The sequence below is a fragment of the Homo sapiens genome, chromosome 3 (assembly GCF_000001405.40).
Source record: "Homo sapiens chromosome 3, GRCh38.p14 Primary Assembly".
Classification (NCBI taxonomy): domain Eukaryota; kingdom Metazoa; phylum Chordata; class Mammalia; order Primates; family Hominidae; genus Homo; species Homo sapiens.
Genome location: NC_000003.12, coordinates 38,825,300 through 38,837,886, shown reverse-complemented (window position 1 = coordinate 38,837,886; position 12,587 = coordinate 38,825,300). Strand labels below are relative to the sequence as shown.

Below are 12,587 nucleotides of genomic sequence, written 5' to 3'. Positions count from 1 at the left end.
ATGGCAGGACAGATTCAGGGACAAACCAGTGAGCAAGATTGGTCAGGAGAGGAGAGGGCTGTGTCCTAGGAGGAGGGACTGAGCTCTCTGTCTCCTCTTCCCTACCCCTGCAGTAGTCTCTCTCTACACAGAGCATGACTGCTTGACGGCTGTTGGGTGGGTGGTCTAAACCCCTGTCCTCTTTCCACCCAGCGTTGGAGAGGACAAGTTGGGCACTGAACACTCTGCTTCCTAGCCTGCACCATCTCCCGGGACCTCACCTCTCTTCTCCCTCCCAGGAGAGGGCCACATCCTGTAGCCAGGAGGAGGGGCTTTCCATACAGACACTGCCCCATGAGGCAGGAAACGCCAGGCACTTTCCCTCTCCCTACAGACCTTGTGTGAGCTCATTCTGGTAAAAGTTTAATGCCTAAAAGTCAATTACACTTAAGAATGCTCTGATGAGCCCAACAGCAGCCTTTTCTCAGAGCCACTGGGGCCTGAAGCTACTTTCCTGCTCCCTCCCTTCAATGCTGAGAAAACCTCCCTGCCTTCCTCACAGTCCCTGCTTTCCCACCAACTTGCTATGTGACCGTCACCAAGACCCATCCCCTCTCTAGGCCCGATTTTGATATTAATAAAACGGAAGGGCTGACTCAAATGCTCTCTGAGGTGTGTGCTCTGCTTGTTCATCCTCAAGAGCCCTTACCTCTGGGTGAGCAGAGCAAGAAGAGGGGACACGCACCGGGTTGGAGGTCTGTAAAGGAATGGCCAAGGGCAGAAATGCCAAAAACCAGAGGTGTTGGAAAAGACAGAGAAATACTTGACGGGTTTATGCTCATTTAGACAGTAAACATGTTACAATCAATGTGCAAATAATTATGCAAAAGTACAGGACAAGTTATAGTGACCTGGCCTCCTTTCCTTTATGACATCCAACTCCACCTGCCATCACGGACTTTTCATCAGCCGGCCCAGATGTGCCACGGCTGGCCTCGGGCATAGGATAAATGGCTCAGGCAGCCCCCAGGGAGAGAAAGAATGAGGCCACTTGTGTCTTCTTTTGCAGGCCATGATGGACATTTTCCCTCTAATCCACCAAACTCATTACTTCCCATTCAGTCTCTGCCAGCCCCCAGGCTGTTCTTTGCATAATCCCTGTGTTTCCTGCCTCCACATCCTCCTCACAACAATCCCCTCCACTGGAATGTCCTCTGCTTCTCGATTCCTTCTCATTGAATCCCAGTGCAGCTCTGGACTCAATCTGGGGAAGCTTCTCTGCCTAACTTCATTCCAAGCTAAGTACCACTCCTGTCATCCCTCAAGTTCTCCATAGCCTTTTGCTATGCAGAGAACAGCTTTCAGACAAAGGTGTGGAGGATGTTCTGTCTGGGAACATGGGCTTAGTGTGCTGATCTGTCCCCTGCCCCCCACCCCACCACTGGAACCCAACAAAGCATGCCAAACCACAGATTAAATGCTGGTGGTGCTGAGAGATTTGTTCCGAATCCAAAATGGCAGCTCTTTTTTAGCCAGGGGCACCCTTCCCCGTGGGATATAGAGCCTGTTTCTGCCCTGGTTCAGGCTGCTTTAGTGTGTGAAACATGGGTTCTCCCTATTTCAAGACCGAACTCCCTCATTTGACTCTCATTGGGCCATCCTTCTCTGCTTTAGTTAAAATTATTTCCTTTGCTGTCTGTTTTAGCCAGAGGTGATATTTAAAAATATTTAATCTCTGGTGAGGCTTGGGCACTGACCAAACAGAATGGAATGTCACTGAGTGCGAGAGGGTCCTTGGAGATTGGCCAAAAGGAAGGCAGTGGGTGGCTGGATTAGAGATGTAGCTGGGTGTCGCCCTTTAGAGGTTGGATCCCAGGACATTTTAGGGGTGAGGGCATAGGGAACAGTTAGGGGTGCTGGTTAGAATCCATTTACCCACACTCCCACCTCAGATTCATTATCTGTTTTTCTCTTCCTTGACCTGTATCCAGAGAGACAGATCCTTTCAGGCTGCATCAGCTGGACTTCCTTGCTGACTGACTTCCAGTTGGGTTAAGTCAATGGGAGGCACCAGCAAGAGATAGAAGGAAAGGAAGAGAAGCAGTCAGGGTTTTTCTTCCCTGCTTCCTCCCTGCTCCAGGCTGTGTTTCTAGCAGTGGCTATATTCCTCCAGTGCTACAAATCCTGTCCTGCACTCCTTTTCCATTGTTCCAGCTTTCCTGGGCTCTAGCAATGCTGTCTTCCTTTTCCCCTTCCAGTCTAAGGATGGAAATGGTTTCCTGCTATTGCTAGTCTCTGAGTGCCTAACATCCTTAACTCCTGGATAGCCAGCCTTTGGGATGGCCCCTGCTGGTCTTTGCCTCCTGCTATTTATCCCTTTGAATAGTCTCTCCCACATCATCCCTGGTTTGTTTTGTATGCCTTGGTTTGAGGCAGACAGCAGTAGTAATGGGGGTGTCAGACTGAGACTTGTGTCTTGACTGCCCTCTGGCTTGCTTTCTCTTGGATCATTCACTCTGGGGAAGGCAGGCCACCAGGTTGCGAGTAGCCCTATGGAGAGGCCCCCATGGCAAAAAAAAATGAAGCCTAACTAATAGCCAGCAAGGAACTGCAATTTGTTAACAATTCCGAGCTTGGAAACAGCTCCTGCAGCCCCCGGGCAAGTCTTGAGATGAAGAGATGACTGTAGCCCCTGCAGACAGCTTGACGACAACCTTGTGAGGGAGACCCTGTGCCAGAACCACCCAGCTAAGTCACTCTCAAATTCTCACTTCTTGGAAACTGTGAGAGATAATAAATATTTGTTGCTTTAAGCTGCAATGTATTGGGGTGATTTGTTACATAGCATAGATAATTAATGTAACTCCATCTATACTTCTGGAAATAGTCACTTTACTAAAGTTTCTTGAACCATCTGAGACAGATTCTGCTTTCTGATTAATACTGAGGCTCACTGTGGCTGCCACTTAACCAGTGCTATGGAAAAAGTTCTATATTTTAACAATGCTGTGGTTGCACTGGTATGTTCCCTCTGAATATCTTCTGACCCATCACTTGGAAATCAGGGAAGTCCAGGGTAGAGCCCCCAATCTCAATGAGATCTTGGATGGGGCAGAGCCCAGGGATTGAGGAGGGAATAGGAAAAAAGGATTACAGGAGAAAAGGAAGAAGGGAAGTACAAGGGAGGCAGATAGGGAGCTAGATGGCAGAATAAAAGATTCGGGCCTGAGTTAGTCCACAAGAAATTAGGAGAGGTATCTTCCAGAACTCCACCTGCTCTGCAATAAACCCTACCCAACTTGTCCAGTGGGATGGAGATGAGAGCTAGAGAGAGTCCAATACAGGTAATAGTCCTTAGACTGATAGTTCTGTGTGGGTAATTTAGCATTATTTCTAGATGAGTTTTCCTTGAGGCATCAAATCCTGACTCTCCTCAGCTCTCAGCCTCACGTGTTGTTCATCTCTACAAGCCAGCATGCCAGCAGTCCCTGGGGCCCCACTGAGAAGCCCCTGCCTAGAGGAGATGGACAGCATCCTCCATCGTGGGCGGGGCACTTTCCTCTCTGCAGTTGGCCGGGGCCAGCAGCCAGGCATTACTGCGCAGGGGGCCCCTTTGTATGGCTGTGCGGCCTCAGAGTGCCCTCTGTGAGTCATTTCCTGTTATTCTCATCGAAGAAGTCCTGCCATTCTTTAGAGCAAAATTTGACATTTTTACAGGACTTACTTCTGCGGCCTTTTGGTCAAGAGAAAAAGGCAGGGATCCTTTCATTTATATTTACAAAGCCATTAATTGGCTTCTTTATAAAATTAGACTCCATTATAAACTCAACTGGAGTGGGAGCATAGCTTTATTTAGTCCAAAACATCAAACAGTTTTAAAGGATTCTTTTTTAACAACCAAGTGTTCAGTGGCAAGTCGACTGGAGAAGTAAGCTCCACTTCCTTCTGCTGCTGAAAATGCAGGTTATATATATATATATATATATATTTTAATTATACTTCAAGTTCTAGGGTACATATGCACAACGTGCAGGTTTGTTACATATGTACACATATGCCATGTTGGTGTGCTGCACCCATTAACTCATCATTTACATCAGGTATATCTCCTAATGCTATCCCTCCCCCTCCCCCCACCCCACGACAGGCCCCGGTGTGTGATGTTCCCCTTCCTATGTCCAAGTGTTCTCATTGTTCAATTCCCACCTATGAGTGAGAACATGCAGTGTTTGGTTTTTTTGTCCTTGCGATAGTTTGCTGAGAATGATGGTTTCCAGCTTCATCCATGTCCCTACAAAGGACATGAAATCATCCTTTTTATGGCTGCATAGTATTCCATGGTGTATATGTGCTGCGTTTTCTTAATCCAGTCTATCATTGATGGACATTTGGGTTGGTTCCAAGTCTTCGCTACTGTGAATAGTGCCGCAATAAACATACATGTGCATGTGTTTTTATAGCAGCATGATTTATAATCCTTTGGGTATATACCCAGCAATAGGATGGCTGGGTCAAATGGTATTTCTAGTTCTAGATCCTTGAGGAATTGCCACACTGTCTTCCACAATGGTTGAACTAGTTTACAGTCCCACCAATGGTGTAAAAGTGTTCCTATTTCTTCACATCCTCTCCAGCACCTGTTGTTTCCTGACTTTTTAATGATCGCCATTCTAACTGGTATAAGATGATATCTCATTATGGTTTTGATTTGCATTTCTCTGATGGCCAGTGATCATGAGCATTTTTTCTTGTGTCTATTGGCTGAAAAATGCAGGTGATATTGACTCTGGTGTGTCCACTGCTCATGGATGCACCTCAGGTGTGCCCACCCAACCTGGAGAGAGAGAAGGGAAGATGGAAGGCACAATCGACAGCCATCCCCAGGGCCCTGCCTGCAGCTCCTGCTTCTGTCTAAAGCTACCCATCTAGCTCCAGAAAACTGCCAGAGGAGGAATATCCCAAGCCTGATCCCCACTCCAGACCAAGCCCAGGCATGGACAGTACCAGCGGTGTGGCTCACCACACTCGCTGCTCCCTGACCCTGTAGTCGGCCAGGCACTGAGTCTTCACAGAGAGTTTATCTCCACTCAACCTATGTCATGAAGCTGCAAGAATCAGTCATTTCCCATCACCCACATCATAGTCTGGGAACTTGGAACCAGTCGCCTAACTTACTTTGATTTCTGTTACTCCAGGGCACACAGAGCATTGAATGCAGGATTTTTCAAGTTTTAATATATAGATGCATCACCAGGGAGCCTGCAAAAATGCAGACTCTTACTCAGTCACTCTGGGGTGGGGCCTGAGTGCATTTCTAACAAGGTGATGCTGATGCTGCTGGTCCAAAACCATAATTTATGGAGCAGGAATCTGAGTCAGACCCCTCATGTTACAGGTGGGAAGACTGAGCCGAGAGCAGGAGAATGGCTTTCTCGTGATACTTAAATCAGGCTGGAGGAAGTGTTTCAGGTAGTCTCACCTACCTTCTGTCACCTCACTCATGATACAGACCCCCAGCTCTTTAGGGAAGTGCTTCTCAAACTTTAATGTGCACATGAATTACCCAGGATCTCGTGAAAACACAGATCTGATTCAGTAGATCTGTGGTGAGCCCAGAATCTTAATTTTGTCACAGCTCTCAGGTGGTGCCAATGCTGTTGGTACATGGATCTCATTTGAGTAATAAGGTTCCGGACAATGGCAGTGCTATGGTTTGAATGTTTGTCCCCTCCAAAGCTTGTGTTGAAATTTAGTTGCTATTGTAACAGTTTTAAAAGGCATACCTTTGAGAGGTGGTTAGGCCCTGAGGGCTCTGCCCTCATAGGTGGGATTAATGCCCTTACAAAAGGGTGAATTCAGCCCCCTTTTGCCTTTCTCTGTCTTTGCCTTCTCACCATGTGATGATACAGAAAGAAAGCCCTCACCAGATGACAACATTTTAATCTTGGATTTCCCAGCCTCCAGAGCTGTGGTGAAATAAATTTGTTCTTTATGAAGTACTCACTCTTGGGTATTCTGTTATAGCAGCACAAAACAAACTAAGATAGGCAGTAAGAGCATTGACTTGGTGACATCAGGAAGCATCAGTCGTTTATGACTGGCTGTTACATGCATTCACTTCCCTGAGGCTCACAGCTGCCATGGGGCACAGCCAAGCCAAAGGTGTTGATTTCCCCCATACCTAGTTGGTTTCCTACCTGAGGTCAGCCCAGAGAGGAGCTGTGCTCTTAAGGCTGCTGTTGAAAAGAGAAAAAAGTTTAGAATAGTGACAGACTTTAAGATTTCTGATAGTGGAAGTCACGTACAGCTTAGTTTCTGTGGAAATGCTTTCCAGGGTTGTCTTTAGCTACAGAGACCAAAGCTAGAGCAAGGCAAAGTAAAGCTGTGGCAAAGATGGGGGTGAGTGTGCTTAATATACATTCCCCCCTTTTTCTTATTAAAAGAAATCTGAGTTTACTGGAGGCATCGAAGTACCCAGCTTTTAAAAACTGCCATTTCTATTCTCCCTTGAAGCTAGGAATAGACTTTCACTAAGTTCTGGCCAATTAATTATAAGTGGACATTGCTGGATGAGGCTTCCAGAAAAGATCCTCAAAAGAGGAAGAAAAATCACTTGGTATATGCCTTTTTATCCTTCACCATCTCTTCCTTCTTGCTGCCTGGAATGCAGATGTGAAGGTGGGGCTCCAATAGCCATCTTGTGTCTATGAGGCACTCTGAAGAACAGAAGCTGTATCTTAAAGATGGCAGAGTCAAAAGATGGAAACAACATGAGTACAGATGGAATCATGGATCTGCTGCATTAACCCTGAACCACCTACTTCTGCGTATCACATTATGTTACAGTAAAAGAGACCCACATATTCTTTAAGCCACTCTTCTGTGAGTCTCTGTTTCAAGCAGTTGTGGGGAACTTCTAACTGATTCTGTCATCCATCCTGAAAAGTGATGCAACAATACATTTATGTATTCCATTCCCAGAATGAAATAATGGAATTGAAATTGGATTTAAAATGACCAAAAGTGGACAAATTTGTGTGGAATGAGCTAGAGAGAGTGCCACTGTATCTATGAGTGGGTGTGTGCAGCCTGCTTCCAGGCCTACAACATCCTCATTGCAAGGACCCTTTATTGCCCCCTTTGTGTGTAAACTATGGCAAACAGAGGCTGCTTGGGTCTCACATCCATTCTACCAAATAGCAGCAGGGTGACCATGGACCCAGTTGTCAATCCCTCTTAGGCTCTAGTTATCTAAAAAAATGGAGAGGCCAGGTGCGGTGGCTCACGCCTGTAATCCCAGCACTTTGGGAAGCTGAGGCAGACAGATCACAAGGTCAGGAGATTGAGACCATCCTAGCCAACATGGTGAAACCCCGTCTCTACTAAAAATACAAAAAATTAGCAGGACATGATGGCGGGCATCTGTAATCCCAGATACTAGGGAGGCTGAGGCAGGAGAATTGCTTGAACCTAGGAGGTGGAGGTTGCAGTGAGCTGAGATCGTGCCACTGCACTCTGGCCTGGTGACAGAGCAAGACTCCATCTCAAAAAAAAAAGAAAAGAAAAGGAGACTGTAATGAAAAATGCTTATTTCTTAGGGTTGCTGTGATCCTTAAATGAGACACAGCTCAATTAGCATTGATTACTATTACTATTTATTAAATATTTATTGTACGTATATTTACTAAATTTTGAAGAGCCGAGATGGGGACACAAAGATGACAAAAGAGTAGCCCTATTCCCTCAAGGACCTCCCAATTTCATTCCTTGAAGAGAGTTCTTCCATGCCTTTGTCAGGAAGACATTTAGATGCTGCCAAAGAAACAACCCAGAAGGTGAGGCTCTATCCTAGGACTCAGCCTCTGCAAGCCTGTAGGCGGACATTCTACCAGGAGTAAGTTCTAAATGGATTTCTCCAGGACACCCAACAGTGTGCAGAGAACTGGCTGCCTCAGCATCTTGCTTGATCTTTCTCTTGAAAAGTGTGTCTCTAACGCAATTTTCTCAGCATTAAAATATGAAAGATAAAGCCACTTATCTCCCAGGGCTTCAGGGAGAACTCAGTGAGGGCTTGCAGGTCAAGGGGCCAGGTGTGCTGCCAGCCGTCGAGTCCATGACTGTCCCTCCCTCATGGGGTTCACCTGCTGGTCCCGTCCTCATTCAGATCCCTTCTCTACACCGCTATGCTGAGGGGTCCAGCTGCCAGCCCCATGCGCTGCTTTGCAGAGGACTGCTCATGTGGGACGGGAGTATCCTTCCTGGTGCTGGGTGTGGAGTTGTGGGAGGAGGAGGAGTCCCATGGGTAATTACAGCAAACCTCCACTTATCCAAATAAATGAGTCAGGACTCTGCAAGGCAGGGAGGGCAGCAGCTCCCTCCGAGGTCTGCCTGTATGAGGCCTGTCTGTGCTCAGCCCAGGACTTGCCTCAGAGAAAGAACTGGAGGAAGTGAGCCTTTCTTCCCCTCTCTCTTTTGAGAGCTGACTGGTCTGCCCTCAATTCCTGGTAGCTGCCCCTCTGCCACCAGCCTGAATCAGGAAGGTGGGGAGGGGAGAATGTGGCTTAGGGGCCAGAGTCAGGCAGGAAAGGGGTCCTGACAACAGACTCCTTCTCACTCTCCTTCTCCTCTCACTTCAGAGCTGTGGCCCACAGGACACAGGCATACTTGCTTTTTACCAGATGACTGGCTCCCAGCTGATGGGGTAAGTGTTCATGGATAAGTTCAGGGGAAGGCCTGGAACTCATTTAGAAAATTTTATCAGAGGAACCTGGGAGCCACCATTGCCCCTCCCTACCACTGAGCCACCCACTGATCTTTGGGTGAACACTGTAAATCCCAGCCCCCCACATGCCATACATTGAGCCCCTCCTCTGCACCCCCAGCCCAGCCATCCTCATTCTGGGAATTAATAAGATAATCCCGTAAGGCTCTTTATGAATGACAAGAACCAGTGTCAGCTGGTATCATTCATAGCATTAGTGTGATTCTCCCTGGCTCTCATCATCCTTTGTGGCCTCACCCTTCCTCCATAGCCCAGAACAGCTTACTGCAGAAGGCCATTGCTGATGAAGGAACCCAGCGCCACATCCAGATGCCCTGCCCGCTCTTCCTGTGCTGCGGCATGCCCAGGTCAGGATGCACAGCTCCTGTGTCTCAGAGAAATGCACTAAGTGCCTTTCCTAATGGTTCATGGACTCTCCCCAGAGCATAGTAGGTTTAGTGCTGCTGACGTAGTCTCTGGATCTTCTCCCTCCACTCTGTCGTCTGCCAGCATTCCCTTTGTGGACACCCATTACCATTCCAAGCTTGGTGGGAGAATGCTTAGGCTGGGAGGTGAGAAAGCTGCTTCCCCAAGATGCATGCCAGAGCTCTAAGTTGGGTTTTTTTTCCTCTATGTCCTGGAAGAATATGCCTCACAATGTTAGCAGCAGTTACCTTGGAGTGGTTTTGGTAGTGGGGTGTGTGTGTGTGTGTGTGTGTGTGTGTGTGTGTGTGTGTGTTTTCCTAGGGTTTCTAGATGTTCCAGATGTAATGTTAGTTTTCTGATATCTGATAATTTTTAAGGTTAACAAAACCAAATAAATTACAAGATTTGGTTAAAGCAGAGGAACCAGACCACGCCAGATGAGAATGAGAGGAGCAGCGCCAGAATGGGAGACCTGGGTCTCAGAATCTGTTCCTGCCCTGGCATGGACTTACTGTGTGACCTTAGGCAAGTCCTTTCCCCTTTCTGACCCTCTGATTCTCATCTGTGAAACAAGAAAGCCAATGAGATGAGCTCTGTGGTCTTTCCCAGTGCTGACATTCTTTGATCTACTCAACCTGTGGAGACACTCTAGATCTCTTTTGGCCCTGTTACTTTGCAGATGGTTAAGAAATATGCCCACTAGCTCTTTCCTGCCTTCCAGGGCTGAGTGATGCCACATACCACACACTGAGTCCCTAAGACCAGAACACTGCAAGGAATTTGATAAGGGTAAACCATTAAATTCCACAGGGCAGTGGTCCTGAAACTTCAGTAGGCATCAAAACACCCAGCTTTAGTACTCTGTTCTTCCCCAAGCCCATCCCCAGGGAGGGACAATATTGCTCCATCACAGGCCTACTGGACACAGACTGTGTGGATACTCCCAGAGCAGGAAGGTGTGGAGTTGGACTCTCTTGGACCAAGGATGAAGTTGACGTTGCCTGGAAGAAGAAAGGGGACCTTCTTGATTGGCAGAGACCTCAATATTTTGTGCATCCTGTTAAATTTGGCTGGGGAGAAATTCTGAGCTAGGCATAGTGGGAAAGTTTAAGGAAAATTGCAGAACCAGAGGAACATGGCCTCTTGATATAAAAGGGAAGCTGGGTTGCAGGCCCCAGGTGTCCCAGCCAGAAAAAAAAAAAGATGTCTTGCCAAGCAGAGTGCCAAGCAGTAACCTACTGCCTTCAAGAAACCATGCAGGCTTGGACAATGGGCATGTCCACTGTGACTGGGATACCAGAGCACCTTCCCCAAGTGTTTCAGAACTAGTAAGGCAGGCCTGGAAAGCTTTGTTTGCTTCTGAGAGGAGGTGGAGAGAGGAAGAGCTCCAGGGATGACTGAGATGTTCTCATCCCCTGGAGGAATGAGGGCTCAGAGAGACATTTAGTTTAATTTTATAAAAATAAAGTAACGTAGCATTTCTAGCACCAGAGCATTGTGGTGAAGTAAAATCCCTACTTTCTACACACAGATCTTCAGATGATCTGAGGCAGGCTGGCAGCATGGTATCCAGTCATCTCCTTGCACAAGATCCTTCACCAGGGTTTTGGTCCCCGTCACTGAACATCCCCTACCACCCTCAGCCAGGTGTGCAGGTCCCACTCTCCTAAAGGAGTGGTATACCACTAAGGACTGAATTGTGTCCTGCCAAAATTCGTAGATGGAAGCCTAAACCCCAGTGTAACAGGACTTGGAAATGAGGCCTTCAGGAGGTAGTTAAGGTTAAATGAGGCCTTAAGGTTGAGGCCCTAATCTGATAGGATTGGTTATCTTAGAAGAGGAAGAGAGATCTCTCTTCCATGCAGTCTGTGGTATTTTGTTTGGGCAGTACACAAGCTGCAATGCTTGACCCTCTATATCAGAATTACCCAGAGTACTTGTAAAAAATGTAGAATCTTGGAATCAACTTCAAACTTTCCAAAAAAGCAAAAAGGAAAAAAAACAATAAGATCTTAGGAATGGGACTCCGGAATATGCATTTTAGGATCACCCCAGGCAATTTCTGAAGTTTGACAGGCACTCATTTCTAGGTCTCCCTTTCTCCCCTCCCCACCCTGCAGACCCCAAGGAGTCCAGACACAACTCTGCCCCTTCCAGGAAAGTTCCAGCCCACCCTGGTCCCCTCCAGGAAGATCCCTGGATGGATGTTCTGCTCTGAGTGCCAGGAAGTGCACCTAGGGAGAGCAGAGACGTTTGCTGTGTGCAGTCATCTCTGACAGTGACAGGGGTTGTGGGCAGGTGCACACTTCCATGCCACCACAGTGGTTTCTCAAAAGACACCTTTCCCACATAGCTGCCATCTCCCTTCCAGCACTCTGTCCTTTATTGGCCACAGTCACAGACAGATTGTTCTGGACTTACAGGTGTCAAGTGCATGAGCCTTCCTAGCCAAACTGTGAGCTCTTTGAGGGGGAGGCCATCTGACTGCCCTCTCCCGGAATGCCAGCTCCACATATAACCTCTATTACTGAGAAACACAGTCCCAGCCGGTTCACTGCCCTAGCCTTATGGCCAGCACCTGCCTTCATCTCTCAAGTGGTTGATTCATGAGTCAGGAGAGTACCATCTCTGGCCTGGGGGAACAGGCACCTCAGGGCTCCCCTCAGAAAACTCTCCTCCAAGAGAACAGACTCCTAACCAGTCCCCCCACCCAGTTTTTCATCTTATTTTACTTATCAAAGTAATATCTTCCACTGTAGAAAACCTGGAAAGTACAGGAAATTAACTGCATTATTAAAAGTACATTTTAAACTCTCCTCTGCCAATTTCAGCTTCATTTGTTCATTCATTCAATCATTCATCCAGCAAATATTTGAACTAACAGTTCTCTACCCAAATAAGCATTAGAGAGGGAGAAAATACAGGTCGCAGAGCAATTTTCACCCTGTGTGGAAATGCTAACATCATTTTTGATTTAAGATATGTAGTTCATTTCAATTAAATATATATTATATTGAAATGCTCCTCGGACTCGTATTTCATCTTGAATTGAAATATCCATTAACATCCATTCCGTATTTCCTCTGTCCATTTAGATTAATTCCAAGCTCCTGATTCTCTTGGGCATGGCATAGCTCTTAGAACACACCCCACTTCTTTCAGCCCATCTCTCAGTTTTTCCTCCAGCTGAGGGCTAAGAGGTTTGAGATCTCAAATGTTTTCTCTTCTTCTAAAAGCCTTTCTGTCCAGCTTGTGCTGATCCACATCAGGCAAGACATTTTACTTTGAACATCTCTCTGTAAAATGAAATGCTATTGTCTAAGAATGGTGCCTACAGATTTCACTGCCATTGCTGATTTAAGCATCTTTTCTTCTACCTATTTTTTTCTTACTTTGAAATTACGAAAACAGATATCAATTA

The 12,587-nt window shown here is 46.8% G+C and overlaps 2 annotated features.

The window, feature by feature from the left end:
• Positions 806–1,382: an enhancer, noted in NCBI's record as "NANOG-H3K4me1 hESC enhancer chr3:38877996-38878572 (GRCh37/hg19 assembly coordinates)". NCBI's record gives its function as "activates a minimal SCP1, AML or CMV promoter by ChIP-STARR-seq in naive H9 embryonic stem cells {active_cell/tissue: H9 hESC(naive)}" and the evidence as "EXISTENCE:reporter gene assay evidence [ECO:0000049][PMID:30033119]".
• Positions 3,501–3,580: a silencer, noted in NCBI's record as "silent region_14215". NCBI's record gives its function as "represses an Ori minimal core promoter by ATAC-STARR-seq in GM12878 lymphoblastoid cells {active_cell/tissue: GM12878}" and the evidence as "EXISTENCE:reporter gene assay evidence [ECO:0000049][PMID:35858748]".